The sequence below is a fragment of the Homo sapiens genome, chromosome 5 (assembly GCF_000001405.40).
Source record: "Homo sapiens chromosome 5, GRCh38.p14 Primary Assembly".
Taxonomy (NCBI): domain Eukaryota; kingdom Metazoa; phylum Chordata; class Mammalia; order Primates; family Hominidae; genus Homo; species Homo sapiens.
In genome coordinates this window covers 139,031,587-139,048,901 of record NC_000005.10, presented here as the reverse complement: position 1 = coordinate 139,048,901, position 17,315 = coordinate 139,031,587, and the positions used below count along the sequence as shown (strand labels likewise).

At 41.6% G+C, this 17,315-nt stretch overlaps 1 protein-coding gene and 1 pseudogene across 5 annotated transcripts in view; both read left to right on the top strand.

The window, feature by feature from the left end:
• Positions 1–17,315, top strand: part of SIL1 (SIL1 nucleotide exchange factor) — a 251,645-nt gene that overhangs the window by 149,467 nt on the left and 84,863 nt on the right. For all 5 annotated transcript variants that reach the window (NM_022464.5, NM_001037633.2, XM_011543570.3 and 2 more), the window contains one exon: positions 6,183–6,282. In NM_022464.5, coding sequence (NP_071909.1) covers positions 6,183–6,282 — 100 coding nt within the window. The remainder of the gene's footprint in view (positions 1–6,182; positions 6,283–17,315) is intronic.
• On the top strand, positions 13,257–13,795 carry RPL12P21 (ribosomal protein L12 pseudogene 21; annotated as a pseudogene).

Here is a 17,315-nt window from a genome sequence, read left to right as displayed (position 1 = left end):
TAGGCCTATACTTGGAGTGGCCCAGGTCAGACAATTACTCCTTTCTAACAACCATGTAAGAAATAATCAGCTGTCATTGTCACGGCCCCTGCCAAACTTCTTTCGTCCACAATACACACATATTTCAGTGCCTCAAAGTACTTTTAGGAAGTCTTTTCTCACATGTAATCCAAGTCTTATTTTCTGAAGAAAACAATCTATTCTTTTCTTAGCTTATGAATATTGAGTTAGGGGCCGGGTACAGTGGTTCACACCTGTAATACCAACATTTTGGGAGGCTGAGGCGGGTGGATCGTTTGAGCCTAGGATTTGAAGACACACACCAGCGACAGGGTGTGTGTCTGCAAAACATATAAAAATTAGCTGGAGGTGGTGGCACACGCCTGTAGTCCCAGCTACTCGTGGGGCTGAGTTGGGAGGATCACTTGAGCCTGGGAGGCAGAGGTTGCAGTGAGTCAAGATCGTACCACTGCATTCCAGCCTGGGTGGCAGAGCCAGACCCTGTCTCAAAAAAAAAAAAAAAAAAAAAAAACCAACAACAAAAAAAAGCAAAACAGAAAAAAACACCAAAACCAAAAATTAGCTGGGTGTGTGGTGTGTATTATGCCTGTAGTCCCAGCTACTCAGGAGGCTGAGATGGGAGGATTACCTGAGCCTGGGGAGGTTGAGGCTGCAATAAGCCGTGATTATGCCACTGTACTGCAGCCTGGGTGACACAGTGAGACCCTATCTGAAAAAATAAATAAGCAAAATATATAAATAAAAAATAAAATCCCTTTACAAAAATAATACTGAGGAATTTTATTAATTTGGAGTTTATTTGTTGGTTTTTATACTATGAGAACTCACTTCTCTACCACCTGACTATAGATTATCAGTGTGAACACGTACTGCTTTGTCTGTTACTCATATCTTTTACGAATAGACAGCAGAGCCGTCCATGTGAACTGTAGAGACACACCATAAGGGAGAAATATTTGTCCCTACTCCTGCCTTTTTACTTTCCTCCTTTGGAGAGTCTCTGCCTGAAATGGCCCCTAGCATATGCTGGACCTTTCTTCTTCCTTCTCAGCATTTATAGCTAATGGCAAACCTATCTGAATAGAAGTCCAAAGGCACTGACAAGGTGGTGTGAACATTCAGTGCTGTGAGCTCAGTGAGCCTTTGATGGTGACTTCCTACTTCTGGGATGGAGCTCCTCCAATTCCATTTCATGGTGTCTTCCTGGCCCCTTAGCACTGGAATAGGAACAGAGGCCTAAGGGCAGGGTCAGTTCCCTGAAATTGTTAGAGTATTTTGCTTATATCCTTATTCTGTTTTAGAGGACAAAATCCATAGCTTTCCATGAAATTGTCCAAGAAGTTAGTGATCCCACAGAGTTAAGAACCATTGGCCTAGAGGGAGATGGGGACAGCCCATTAATCCAAAATTCATGGCAGTCTTTCTACTATTTTTACTGGTTGTGTGGCTGGCCACATTGCTACCTAGAGCTGCAATGCTTGTGGGCTCTAAAGCCTGGGACAGAAGACCCTGACTCTGGCTTGTCTCAGAGAGTTCCTTTAGCACTGCCTTATTTCATTGCATGTAGTTGGCCCTTAGCAACAGGTTTCCACTTGCTATTTATGCTTTAGGCTTTGCCATCTCTAGTGGTTTTAGTCCATATCCCTGTCAACGTAGTACATCTCTCTTTTTGCCCTGGAATAACCAGCTTCTTGGACTCTTCCTCCTAGGTTTGGAGGACTGAGGGTAAAACCACGTTCAAGTTGTGCCATCTTGGGTTGAACATTTACCAAGGTCCAATATGGTATAGTGGTTAAAAGGTTGGGCTAAGGACAGGGCCATTTACTTCCTCCATTTATTTATTTCACAAAAACCTATTGAGTGCCCACGTGCCAGGCATTGGGATACAGTAATAAACAAAACAGCCTCCACAAGGCTGGCAGACAGAAAACCAGGTACATAAGCACAGAAGTAAGATATTATCTGGTCATTACTGATAGTTTGCTGACCCTGTTCTAAAACATGAAAGTATTGGGAATTAATCATAGATTAATTAACTGGCCCCAAAGGGAGGAAGGAAAGGAACCAATGTGGCTGATCCCAGGAACCTGTCAAAGACTGGATTGGTATCCTCACTGAGATCCCTGGAGCTGATCCAAACCACAGCCATGTAGCTTGACTAGAGAGAAGACATCCATTGGGGAGCAAGGTTTTACCACTAGTCCTTATTTCAATTCAGGGAACAGAGGTAAGAACAAGGATGATATGGACAAAAAGAATAATTAACTCTTTATGTAAAGGGTTAGGTTTATAGGTTTAGGAGTTAGGGCATTTCAGACAGATGGAACAACAGGAAGTCCCAGGCTTTATCAAGGAAAAGGCTTTGTCAAGTATGAGAAGCAAGAAAATGATCAAGGTGACTATAGGAGAAGAGAGAAGGAAGGAAATCGATAGGAGATGAGATTGGAGAGGTATGTGGGGGCCAGATCATGTGGCTTTTGAGGAAGATTTTGTATGTTCTTCATTCACCTTTAATTGTAATGGAAAGCCATTGGAAGATTTTTTTTTTCCCCATAAGACGGTGTCTTGCTCTGCTACCCAGGCTGGAGTGCAGTGGCACCATCTCAGCTCACTGCAACCTCCGCCTCCTGGCTTCAAGCAATTCTCCTGCCTCAGCCTCCCGAGTAGCTGGGATTACAGGTGCCTGCCACCACACCCAGCCAATTTTTGTATTTTTAGTAGAGACGGAGTTTCACCATGTTGGCCAGGCTGGTCTTGAAATTCTGACCTCGTGATCTGCCCGCCTCGGCCTCCCAAAGTGCCGGAATTGCAGGCATGAGCCACCGCGCCCAGCTGCCATTGGAAGATTTTAGGCAGGAGAGTGATTTAGTTACTATGTGTCTGGAGATGAGATTGAAGGTGGACAAAAGAAGACAGAATTAGGATGTCATTTCAGTAGATCAGGTAGGACATAATGGTGGCTTAGTCTAGGGTATCATAACAGAGACTGAATGAATTTGGAGATTTAATTTGGAGGTAGACTCAAGAGGACTTGCTTATGATTTCAGTGTAGAGGTTGAAGGAAGGTGCAGGGAGGGGCACAGATTCAGGATAAAGCCTCATTTTGGAACTTGAGCAACTGGGTGGTTGTTGGTACTATTTATTGAAATAGAAAAGTTGGGAGGGGGACAGACTTATAAGGAGAAGAATCAAGAGCCATGTTTTAGATTCAATAAGTTTGAAATACTTGTTAAACATTTGAGATACAGATCTATCAGGTAGTTGTACAAGAGTCTGATTGGTGCTCAGGGGAGAGGTTGGGCTGGAGATGTAAATGTGGAGATTACTGGCAGATAGGTTTTTAAAGTAACTAGGGGAGGATGTCGAGGTGGAGAAGATTGACAGGGCTGAACTCCAAGGCATTCTGGGCTATGTGGCTCAGGTAGGAGATGAGGAACCAGCAAGAGTTGGAGAAGGAGTAAGGAAGAGGAAGAGCCATGAGAGTGAGGTAACAAGCCAGGAAAGGAGGTTTTTTTTGTTTGTTTGTTTGTTTTGAGACAGGGTTTTGCTTTGTCGCCCAGACTGGAGTGCAGTGGCCTAATCATGGCTCACTACAGCCTGGGCTCAAGCAATCCTCCCACCTCAGGCTTCTGAGTAGCTGGGGCCACAGGTGCACACCACCTTGCCTGGCTAATTTTCAATTTTTTTGTAGAGACAGAATCTTACTATGTTGCCCTTACTGGTCTTGAACTCCTGGGCTCAAGCAATCCTCCCTCCTCAGCCTCCCAAAGTGCCGGAATTACAGGCATGACCCACCACACCCGACTGAGAGTTTTTCAAGAAGGGAGGGTCAACTGTGCAAATGCTGCTTAGTGGTTGAGGAACATGAAGTGAGTGAAGAAGGGTCCATCGGATTTGGTCATCAATTATTGGTAATTTTGATTAGTAGTGTGAGTACAGTTGTGAGGACAGAATCCAGATTACAGTAAATGGCAATATAAATAGGAATAAAAAAGCTGGGGATAGTGAGTGAAAACAATGTGTTCATAAAGTGTTACTCTGAGTGAGAGCAGGGAAATGGCAGGATAACCAGAAGAGACTGTGGAGTGACAGGAGAATTGGTGTGCTGATGGGAATAATCCAGCTGAAGGGAGAAATTGATGATGCAGGCAGGAGGGAGCGGTGTAATTATGGGAGTTAAAGCTTTTGTAAAGGCAACTGCGATCTGGAACTAAGTTTAATAGGATCAGGGACACTCATCCATTATAATAGGAAGGAAAGTAGAAAACATAGACTTAGGTGCAGGTTGGCTTGTAGAGCTGATCATGGGAAAATGAAGTTTTGGTCTATTTTTCTTAGTGAAGAATGAAGTAAGAACACCAGATGACTGTTTCGTGTGTGTGCGTGAACTTGAGTGCACATGTGCATGCTTGTGTGTATGTAGTTGGGACTGAGAGTGGGTGATGAGAGATGGCTTGGGAGAGTTGAGACTTAAGGCGTAAACAGAGATGCACGGAATAATGGGATTAGTCCTGACCAAGTCTTACAAGAGGGAGGAGATAATGTGTTCAAGCTATGGTTCCTGAATACTTAGCTCCCTCTTGGGTATGTGGGGTGGGGCAGTGGTATCCTCACACATTGGCAGTGGATGATGCTCTGTAGGGAGAGGGATTCAGGATTCTCTCCCTACTTTGTAGCATTGTGATAACTATTTGAATGAAATATTACTTTGAAGGGATTAACACACTGCCTAACACATGGCTAAATGCTCAATAAATGAGTTACTAGCTATTATTAATTAGTTTAGGAGGACTGAGGTTTAGAGAAGACGAGTGTTCTTCTCAGAGCCCTAAAAGGTCTCTAGGAAGAATGAAAGCCCTTGGTACATGAGAGCTGAGGCCTGCTGGAATCTCAGACTATGAGACTGATGTGCTCTTCCTGCCTGGAGTAGAGCAGGCCAGTAGCCCCTTCCTCCTCACCTCTGAAATCTTGTGGGCATTCCAGGATATATGGAATCCTGAACCCAACACCAACCTGACAGTCTTGTTAAGCACATTCCATACTCCACTCTTCCCTTCGTGCACATCATTCTTGTGCTTACCTCTGTTCATTGAACTAAAATGAATGCTAGTGGTAAAACCTTGCTCCCACATGATGGATGTCCTCTCTCTGGTCAAGATGTGTAGCTGTGGCTTGGATCAGCTCCAGGGAATTTTGTGAGGAGACCATTCTGGTCTTTGGCAGGTTCCTGAGATTATAGCCACATTGGTTCCTTTCCCTCCTCCCTTTGGAGGCTGGCTGTGGAAGGGGCTGACCTTGATTCTACTCCTTAGTATCTCAAATCCATTCCTTGGTCAGGTTGAGACATACCTCCTGCCTCTCCTTTGTGCTCATAGGTTGGTCTTATGGTGTGAATCTATCCAACTTGTTTTTGTAAAGACAGGCTGCCTTGTCTAATCAGTTCAGGCACACACTGTGGGGCTCAGGGCCCTGTTGTCCCCTTTCATGGAAAAATATATTAATAGATAAGGGTGCATGCTACTCCTTGTGGCTGGGCCCACTTCCCTCTGAGAGGTCCTGCCCTGGCAGCGTGCTGAGGGAGAGCATTGCACAGTTATGCCAGGCTTATTTCTTCCTGAGAAGCTGGCTGAGAGCCCTCTGTTCGTGGATGGCTTCTGTCTGCCCCATGCCATTGCTTCCTCTTTCATGAAATGATCCCATTTTCAGCTGCGTCTTTCCTCTTCTAGCTTCAAGGTAAGGTCACTCTGTTAGACCCTTGGCTGACTGAAGACAAAGGTATGATAGTACACTCAGCTGGCCTGGCCTCACTTACCTTAGGGTGCCATTCACCCAGGGACATTTTCTTTCTTGGGGAATATGATGCTCCCCTCTTATTTATTTTTAGAGACAGGGTCTGACTCTGTTGCCCAGCTGTGGGAGTATGGTGGCACAATCATAGTTTACCACAGCCTCGAACCCCTGGGCTCAAGTGATCCTCCTGCTTCCCACGTAGCTGGGACCACAGGCACATACCATCACATCCTAACTAATATTTTTAAATTTTTTGTAGAGATGGGATCTTGGTATCCTTCCATCTTGGCCACCCAGAGTACTGGGATTACAACTGTGAGCCACCAAGCCTAGCCATGCCTCCCTCTTTACTCTCAGTTTTCTTTGGACAGGCTGGATATCAACACCAACACCTACACATCTCAGGATCTCAAGAGTGCACTGGCAAAATTCAAGGAGGGGGCAGAGATGGAGAGTTCAAAGGAAGACAAGGTGTGTGATTATTTTTCCTGTGAGTATAAGCCTGCAGCATGGCCTTGTTGTCTTTGCAGAGAATGGAATCATTTTTATGGGAACTCTTGCAATAAACATGGGATAACAATATTGTAAAATAATTTAAAGAACATTAATGACAAATAAGAAACCCTTTTAGACTATTAAAAAAAAAGTGCTGGGAGCATTTCTGTCATGGTTTAGGTTAGAATTCTATTTGCCATCCCATGTCTTCAAACAGCTCCCCATGTTTGGAGAAATTGAGGCACTGAGCAGGGGTAGCCATTCTCTCCATTATCACAGGCCTGAGTGGAGTGAGTAGACTTTATGGCCCAGATCTCTGCCTCACTTACACTTGGATTAGACACAAGCTTGTTCCAAAAGAACAGAGGAGCTGGCCCAGGAAGCAAGAAGCCGGAATCCTTGTCCTTGTCCTTTGAACATGTAGCAAATGTGTTTCTTCTAGGCTTCAGATTCCTTAAATTTAAAACATGGGGCTGGAACAAGAGGATGACTGAGGTTTCCTCCAGCTCTAAATTTCTCTACAAGCTAAGGGAATGAGAGGAGGAAAAGGTGAAGAATTACAGCCCCTTGGCCATGCCCCTAATGTCTGGGAGGGCTCACAGGTGCAGGTCTATACCAGGAAGATCATGAGCTCTTGGAGTCATTTCTCTGTATTTCTGTTTGAGTCCTGTCAGTTTTTGAAAGAACCTTCTCTGATGGCTGCCTTAGAGACCTAAGTTCTCCCTCCCTCTTCTCCTTACAGTCCCCATTTGCTTTTTTTTGTTTTTTTTTTTTTTTGTTTTTGAGTTGGAGTCTTGCTCTGTCGCCCAGATGGCCTTGTTGTTTGTGCGGTGGTACGATCTTGGCTCACTGCAAGGTCCACCTCCTGGGTTCAAGCGATTCTCCTGCCTCAGCCTCCTGAGTAGCTGGGATTACAGGTGCTTGCCACTACACTCAGCTAATTTTTATGTTTTCAGTAGAGATGGGGTTTCACCATGTTGGCCAGGTTGCTCTCGAACTCCTGACCTCAAATGATCTGCCCACCTTGGCCTCCCAAAGTGCTAGGATTACAGGCATGAACCACCGTGCTGGGCACTCATTTGCCTTTATTTACCTCTTCACTCCTTCCCCTGAATCCAGGTAATGTCCTAGAGAGACAGCATTAGCCTCTTGACAGCTTGTGTATTACTGGAAGAAGCCATAGGTTGTTCTGATCCTTTAGAACTAAATATTTCTGGGAAAATGAACCTTTTTGGGGGATAGGAAACTGGTGTTTACCTGTTTAAGAAGTGTGAAATGCAGGCTCAGTCTCCACGTCTTTACTCATCTTACCAAAGTCACTTCTCCTACACGGAGAGTGTATGTGGTGTGGGAGGGCACGTGGCTTGGTGGCAGCAGCAGTGGGTGAAGGAAGGCAATGCTCGCAATTGTGTCCTACCACAGATGTATTAGCCAAGGGGCTGAGGAGAAGCACATCTTCTGCCTGGTACAGGTGAGGCCAGCAGAGGAGTGCCTGGGTGCCTAGGACAGGGACTGGCCAGGGCTTTGGCTCCTTCCCACCCACTGTCGGTTCCATGTGGGACTGATGGGAACATTAAACAGCTCCTATTCAGCGTCTTCTCTGTGGATGGAGGACCCACTTAACCTTGTTCTCTTCTCTTTGCTTTCCCTGGGAGTGTGTTTGGCTTTTCTTTTCTCAGGTGATGGCATTTCCCCCCACCCCAGTAATTCAATTAGTGTAGAAAAGTATGAATATTTATAAAAGTATTTCAAAATGTATAACCAAGAGATTACTTAAAAGTTTTAGTTGCTGGTTTTTGTAATTAAAAATACTCCTCTCGGCTGGGTGCAGCACTTTGGGAGGACAAGGCGGGTGGATCATCTGAGGTCAGGAGTTTGAGACTAGCCTGGCCAACATGGTGAAACCCCGTCTCTACTGAAAATGCAAAAATTAGCCGGGCATGATGGTATGTGTCTGTAGTCCCAGATAGTCCAGAGGCTGAGGTGGGAGAATCACTTGAAACCGGGAGGTGGAGGTTGCAGTGAGCCTAGATTGCACCATTGCACTCCAGCCTGGGTGACAAGAGAGAAACTCTGTCTCAAAAAAAAAAAAAAAAAGAAAAAAGAAAAAAGAAAAAATACTCCTCTCCCCTTGCAAGGGGATCCCAATATCAGCACCCAAATGCAAGACCCAAGCTCCAGCTCATTTGCACCAGCTGCACACCTCTGAGGTCTGGCTATCATACTCTTTCCTTACTTATGTGGAACTTAGGTTGTTAGCACCATCACTGAGGTGCTAAGTCCTGGCATCCTTCTCCTGCTTTTCATTTGGAGCCTATCTGGACTGACTCAGCTCACTGCCAATGTGCTCATCGAGCTGGCACTGGGATTGGCAAATAAATGGATTTGAAATTGGTTGGGGAGTTTCTTACATATATCAAGCTTTTGGCTACAGATATCATCCTATTTTTGTTTATTAATCTTTAAACCTAGCCTATGTGGTGTCTTGTTAGTACAGGATGGTGCTTTTGTGATTTATATAGACAATACTGTCAGATATTCGGCCATATCCTCTTAATTAAATGAGTGGGTTTTTGGGAACTGGATGTTTTTGGGGACGAGAACATCAATTATATTGTATCCATCGGTAGCTTGGTAGGTTTAAGTGAATCAGTCTTTCCCGGAGTTCCTTGGTTCTTGGAAAAGCTGTCTCTCCCAGCAGATTTGGTTGTTATGGTTGAATCTCGTCTACTTATCCCTCTATTTCCATACAAATTGCTTGATGCTTTTATGTTTTATTATGTCTGCTATTGTTCACCTGTATTCTACAAATTATTGTTTTTTAAGATATGGCCTTTTTAAGCTTTTGATTCTTGGCAAGATGTAATAGACTTATTTCTCCCTATTCCCCCAGCTAAGGGTAACTAAAAACCCTGGACATAATACTAAAGGCAAATGTAGGAAGACTCTAAAACACAGTCAGAAGGCAGCAGACTGGCTAGGGACCTTGGAGCTTGGGGAATGACATCAGTGAGTTCCTTGGATTTTCTTTTTGTCCTCTATATATTTTAGACTGAGTGTTGGCAAATCCCACATCCTGAAAATGTCAACTGGTGCAGATTTTAAAAAGTTATAAGAAAAGCCTGCTATTTCTAGACAAAGAATTGAGCAAAGGGCATCCTAACAGGATAGAAACCTTATTTACAATACCTGTCCAACTCCTGCCAAAGATAATGAAAATCTCCCCACCCCACTTAGTGCCAGTGCAGTGGACATTGAGGTGGGGAGTCTGGATTTCTGCCTGCTATTTGGTGGTAGTAGCAAGCTGTACTCTGATTCCTCCACCAGGGTCGCCAGGAGCCAAGTGGACGGCCTGAACTCACGTCTGCTCCTGGCAGCAAAAAGTGGTAGAAGGCAGTAAAAAGTGGTAGAAGGCAGTGTTCTGCTTCCTCCACCAAGATGGTGTCAGTGGGAGCTGAGCAGAGAGCTTGACTTTTCATCCTCTGCCCAATGGATACTCTCTGCTTCCCCTGCTGGTGTATTACCAACAGACCAAGTGTGCACCCTGATTTTCCATCTCCCATCTGACAGTAGCAGGCTGTTTATCCTGCTGGAGTGGTGTCAGCAGAGGCTAAGCAGGGAACTTGAATATCTGTCCTCTGCCTGGTAGCACCAACATGGTTTTTTACTTTTCCCTGATAACATGGTGTCTGTTGGGGTGAATGAAGAGTCTGTACTTCCACCCCCAACTTGGAGGCAGTGAGACAGTGTGAGGCAGCATTCTGCTTCCCTCTCTGGGGCGGGGCCAGTGGAATAAGTGAGAAGTATGAACTTCCACCCTCAGGCCAGCAGCAGTGAAACAGTGCTCGATTCTCCCGCCAAAGTGGTGTCAGTAGAGGCCCAGGGAGGAACCTAGACTTCCACTCCCAGTGGCCAGCATCCAGTGGTGGCAGGTGAAGTTGTTTCCCTTCTCAACTAGAGAGTAGGGGTACGATTTGGGAGAGAGGAGAGCTAGAGAAAGGGATTTTGCATATGAAGTCCTAGACATACCCGTTCAGTGACCCATACAAGAAACTGACCAGAATTAATACAACAAAAAGTTTAGGAACTGAACTATAGTGTGGAATGCTGCCCAGGTTTTTAGATTGGCCTCTGGGTAGCACACAAAGGAAGCAGACCAGAATAGCACTACAATGCTCTGAAAACTAAATTGTTGTTGGAGCCACAACCCACACAAGTAAGCCAGAACCAGTATACTAAGCCTAAATAGGATGTCTACCTACTGAAAAAGATGAAGTAGGATCTGGAATTTCATAACTTAATACCCAAAATGTCTAGGATATAATTAAAAATTACTTTTCATACCAAGAACCAGGACAATCACAACTTGAATTAGACAATCAACAGATGCTGTTATGGATTGAATGTTTGTGTCTCCCCCAAATTTATAAGTTGAAGCCCTAACCCTGCAATGTGATGTTTGGAGGTGGGACCTTTGGAAGGTAATTAGATTTAGGTGAGGTCATGAGGGTTAGGCTCAAGAGGGATTAATGTCCTTAGAAGAATAAGAGAGACCAGTACTCTCTCTCTCTACCGTGTGAAGACACAGCTAGAAGGTGATTATCTGTAAGCCAGAAAGGGGACCCTCACCAGGAACCACGTCGACTCATTCCTTGATCTTGGACTTCCCCAGCATCCAGAATTGTGAGAAATAAATGTATGTTGTTTAAGCTGCCCAGTATATGATATTTTGTTATAGCAGCCTGAGAAGACTGAGACAGATGCTAATACTGAAATGACTCAGAAGTTGAAATCATCTAACAAGAATTTTAAAACAACTATTATAAAATTGCTTCAGCAAGCAATTATGAGCACCCTTGAAGCAAAGTCTCAGCAAGGAAACAGAAGATAAGAAAAAAGAACCAAATGGAATTATAGAACTGAACAATATAATAACTAAAACTTTAAAAGTCACCAGATAGGCTCAGTAGCAGAACAGAGATGACAGAGAAAAGAATCAGTAAACTTAAAGACAGATAAATAAAAATTACACAGTCTGAACAACAAAGAGAAGATAGATTGGAGAAAAAAAATAACAGAGCTTTAGGGACCTGTGGAACTGTAACAAAAGATCTAACATTTGTGTCATTGGAATTCCAGATGGAGAGTAGAAAGAATATGGGGCTAGAAAATAATCAAGAAACAAGGGCTAACAAATTCCCAAATGTGGTGAAAGGCATAAACTCACAGATTCATAAAGTGAATCCAGTGAATCCAGGTGAACTCCAGACAGGATAAACTCAAAGAAATCAACACCAAGATACATCACAGTTAAACTTCTGAAAACTAAAGACAGAAAAATCTTCAAAGCAACTAGAAAAAATAACACAACTATAGGGGAACAATGATTGAGCGATATTGAATTTTTTATCTGAAACCATAGAGGCCAGAAGTATGTGGAATATTTTTCAATTGCTGGGGGAAAAAATGAACTGTCCACACAGAATTTTATAGCCGTGAATATATTTCAGGAGTGAAAGGGAAGTCAAGACACTTTTAGAGAGAGGAAAATTAAGAAAATTTCTCACCAGCAGACCTACTCTGAAAGAATGACTAAAGGATATTCTCCAAATAGAATGAAAAAAGAATAATAGAAAGAAACTTGAAATATCAGGAATAAAGAAAGAACAATGTAATGAATAAAAAATAGGGAAAATGCAGCCTATCCTTTTCTTCTTGAGTTTTTATTATTTATTTTCTAATTTTTAACTTTTAAGTTCAGGGGTACATGTTCAGGTTTGTTATATAGATAAACTTGTGTCATAGGGGTTTGTTGTATAGATTATTTCATCACCCAGGTATTAAGCCCAAGTACCCAACAGTTATTTTTCCTGATCCCCTCCCTATTCCCATCCTCCACCCAATAGGCCCCAGTGTGTGTTGTTCCCCTCTAAGTATCCGTGTGTTATCATCATTTAACTCCCACTTATAAGAGAGAACATGTGGTATTTGGTTTTCTGTTCCTGCATTAGTTTGTTAAGAATAATGGCCTCCAGCTCCATCCATGTTTCTTGAAGGGATAGATCTCATTCTTTTTTATGGCTGCGTAGTATTCCATGGTCTTTGCCCAGTCTATCTTTGATGGGCATTTAGGTTGATTCCATGTGTTTGCTATTTTGACAAATCTGACAAAAACAAGCAATGGGGAAAGGATTCCCTATTCAATAAATGTTGCTGGGATAACTGGCTAGCCATACACGGAATATTGAAACTGGACCCTTTCCTTATACCATATACAAAAATGAACTCAAGATGGATTAAAGACTTAACCTAAAACTATGAAAACCCTGGAAGACAACTTAGGCAATACCATTCAGGACATAGGCATGGGCAAAGATTTCATGACGAAGATGCCAAAACCAATTGCAACAAAAGCAAAAATTAACAAATGGGATCTAATTAAACTAAAGAGCTTTTGCACAGCAAAAGAAACTATCAATAAACAACCTACAGAATGGGAGAAAATTTTTGCAAACTATGCATCCAACAAAGGTCTGATATCCAGCATCTGTAAGAAACTTGAACAAATTTACAAGAAAAAAACAACCCCATTACAAACTGGGCAAACTGCTGAAGTTTGACCCCAGCGACATCAAAGTTGTATGCCTGGCCGGGCGTGGTGGCTCTCGCCTGTAATCCCAGCACTTTGGGAGGCCAAGGCGGGTGGATCACGGGTCAGAAGATAGAGACCATTCTGGCTAACATGGTGAAACCCCGTCTCTACTAAAAATACAAAAAAAATTAGCCGGGCGTGGCGGTTGGCGCCTGTAGTCCCAGCTACTCAGGAGGCTGAGGCAGGAGAATGGCGTGAACCTGGGAGGCGGAGCTTGCAGTGAGCCAAGATCACGCCGCTGCACTCCAGCCTGGCGACTGAGCAGGAGTCCATCTCAAAAAAAAAAAAAAAAAAAAAAAAAGTTGTATACCTGAGATGCACGGAGGGTGAAATGGGCGCCATGTCTGTGCTGGCACAGGTATCATTGCTGGTATCTGGCACTGGCCCCCAAGATTGGCCCCCTGGGTCTGTCTCCGAAAAAGGTTGGTGATGACATTGCCAAGGCAGCCGGTGACTGGAGGGGTCTGAGGATTACAGTGAAACTGGCCATTCAGAACAGACAGGCCCTGATTGAGGCAGTGCCTTCTGCCTCTGCCCTGATCGTCAAAGCCCTCAAGGAACTGCCAAGGGACAGAAAGAAATGGAAAAACATCAAACACAGTGGAAATATCACTTGTGATGAGATTGTCAACATTACTTGACAGATGCGGCACCAATCTTTAGCCAGAGAACTCTCTAGAACCATTAAAGAGATCCTGGGGACTGCTCAGTTTGTGGGCTGCAGTGTTGATGGCCGTCACCTCATGACATCATAGATGACATCAACAGTGGTGCAGTGGAATGCCCAGCTAGTTAAGCACAAAGGAAAATATTTCAATAAAGGTTCATTTGACAACTAAAAGAAAAGTGGGCAAAGGACATAGACACTTTTCAAAAGAAGACATACATGTGGGCAACAATCATATGAAAAAAAGCTCAACATCACTGATCATTAGAGAAAAGCAAATCAAAACCACAGTGAGATACCATCTCACACCAACTATAATGGCTATTGTTAAAAAGTCAAAAAATAATAGATGCTGGCAAGGGTTGTAGAGAAAAAGGAATGCTTATACACTGTTGGTGGGAGTGTAAATTAATTCCACATTGTGGAAAACAGTGTGGCAATTCCTCAAAGACCTAAAGACAGAAATAGCATTTGACCCAGCAATCCCATTACTGGGTATATACCTAAAGGAATAGAAATTGTTCTGTTATAAAGACACACATGCATATGTTTTTGAGTTTTTAAAATTGTTTGATAGTTGAAGCAAAAATTATGACAAGATCTGTTTCTGAATGTATAGTGAGGAATTTTGAAGACAATTAGGAGGAAGAAAGGATTAAACATAATTGGAGGTAAGGTTTCTACATTTCACTCAAAGTGATAAAACATTGATACCAGTAGATTATGATGTTACTTATGTATATTATAATACTTAGAACAATCATTATTAAAAACTATACAAACAGTTACACTCAAAAGCATAGGTAATCCAAAAAGGAATTATATAAAATGTACCTTGGTTTGTCACAGGAAGGTGAGAAATGGGAAACAGGAACAAAAACTGGAGGAAACAAAAAAAATAAATAAAATGGTGTATTTAAGCTCTAACATATAAAAATATTACCTTAAAACATAAATGTATAATAATTGTAAAATGTTTTATAATTGGTCTAAATATACCAATTAAACAGATTTTCATAATGAATTTTAAATGAATTTCAAAAATATGCTTTCTACAAGAAATTCAAATATAATGATAAAGACAGTAGGTTGAAAGTAAAAGAATGGAAAGCATATCATACAGATATTAATTAAAAAGCAGGAGTTACTATATTAATATCAAAGTTGACTTTAGATTAAAGGAAATTATTAGGAACAAGAGCAATTTACATAATGATAAAAGGGCCAGTCCATTAAAATATACAGTAATTCTAAATGTGTATGTACCACTTTTATTTGTATATAAAAATACCTGAAGCAAAAACTAACAGAACTAAAAGAAAGAAACAGACAAATCCGCAATTACAGTTGGGGATTTCAACATCCCTTTCTCAGAATTGCTAGAACTACTAGACAGCGGATCAGTAAGGGTATTAAAGAGCTGAATAACACCTTCAACCAGAAAAATTTAATTGACATTTATGGAACATTCCATTCTACAACAGCAGAATATACATTCTTTTTAAGTGTCCATGAAACACTCCTCAAAATAGAGTATATCCTGAGTAATCAAACAGATCTCAACAGTTTTAAAAGAACTGAAATTAGGCAGAGTATGTTCTCTCATTATAATGGAATCAAACTAGAAACCAGTCATAGATAGGAAGAAAATCTCCAGTCAAGTCAAAGAGGAAATCTCAGGGGAGGTTAAAAAAAAAAGATACATTGAACTGATTAAAAATGAAAATGCACTTTATCAAAATTTGCAGGATCCAACTAAAGCTGGAAGGGAAATTTGCTTATATTAGAGAAGAAGTAAGGTCTCATACCTATAATGGAAGGTCCTACTTCAAGAAACTAGGAAAAGATGATCGAAACAAGCTCAAAGCAAGCAGAAGGAAGGAAATAAAGAGCAGAAATCAATGAAATTGAAAACATGAAAACAGTAGAGAAAAATCAGTGAAACCAAAAGGTGATAAACTTCTATCAAGACTGACAAACATGGCTGGGCACGGTGGCTCACGCCTATAATCCCAGCACTTTGGGAGGCTGAGGTGGGCAGATCACCTGAGGTCAGGAGTTCGAGACCAGTCTGGCTAATATGGTGAAACCCCTTCTCTACTAAAAGTAAAAAAAATGAGCCAGGCATGGTGGCGCACGCTTGTAGTCCGAGCTACTCGGGAGACTGAGGCAGGAGAATCACTTGAGCCCAGGAAACAGAGGCTGCAGTGAGCCAAGATTGCACCACTGCACTCCAGTCTGAGCAACAGAACGAGACTCTGTTTCAAAAACAAAAAACAAAACAAAAACAAAAACAAAAAATCCACAAGACTGACAAACACATAAAGCACTAAGATAAAAATTACCTGTATCAAGAATGAAACCAGGAATATCATTACAGATCCTGCAGAAATTAAAAGGAAAATACAGTAAGAGAATACTATGAACAACTCTATGCATATAAATTTGATAACTTTCATGAAATAGTCCAGCTGTTTTATAAGCACATATTATCCAAATTTACCCAATATGAAATAATACGAGTAGTCCTATAACCATTAAAAAAACTTGAATTTGTAGTGAAAAACCTTCTATAAAGGAAGTCTCCAGGTTCAGATAGTTTCACTGGAGATATTAACCAAACATTTAAAAACCACTGGCGTCAATTCTACACAGTTTGTTCCAGAAAATGTAAGAGGGAGGAACACTTCCCAACTTACTTTATGAGGCCAGTGTCACACTAATACCTGAACCAGACAGAGTACAAAATAAACTACATAGCAACATTCCTCACGAACATGGAAACAAAAATCCTCACCAAAATTTAGCCAATCAAATCCAGCAATATGTAAAAAGAATTATGCATTATATATAATCACATGGAGTTTATTACCAGAATGCAAGGCTGGTTCAGTGTACAAAAAATAATCAGTATAACCCAACATATCAGTAGGCTAAAGAAGAAAAATCACATCATCTTATGTCAGTTAATACACAAAGAGCATTTGACCATATTCAGTACCCATTCATGATAACTCAGAAATCTAGGAATAGAAACCTTACTTGATAACAAGCATTTACAAAAAGTCTGCATGGAATATTATACTTAACAGTGAAAGACTGAATACTTTGCCACTGAGGTCAGAAACAAGCCAAGGATGTTCACTCTTACCACTCATTCAACACAGTCATAGCCAATGCAGTAAGGCAAGGCAAGGAAAAAATAAAACTATCTCATTTTCCAGATGACACAGTTGTCCATGTATAACTCCCAAAGAGCCTCCAAAAAAAAGTCTTCTAGAATTAATAAGTGAGTTCAGCAATGTCACAAGATATACAGACAATGCAAATCAATTGTATTTCTATATACTAACAAAGAATATTTGGAAATTGAAATTAAAAACATATGTACCATTTACAGTTGCTCCCCTAAAAATGAAATATTTAGGAATAAATCTAACAAGACAGATATAAGATCTATATGCTCAAAAGTATAAAAGTTGGGTGAAAGATGATGATGGAGTTAAATCAAAGAAGACTTAATTAAATGGAGTGACACACTGTGTCCATGGATTGAAACATTCAACATAGTAAAAATGTTAACTCTCTCTGAATGTATAAGTTTAGTGCAATTCCTATCAAAATTTCAGCAGGATTTTTTTGTAGATGAGCTTATTCTAAAGTTTGTATGGAAAGTTGAAGGAACTAGAA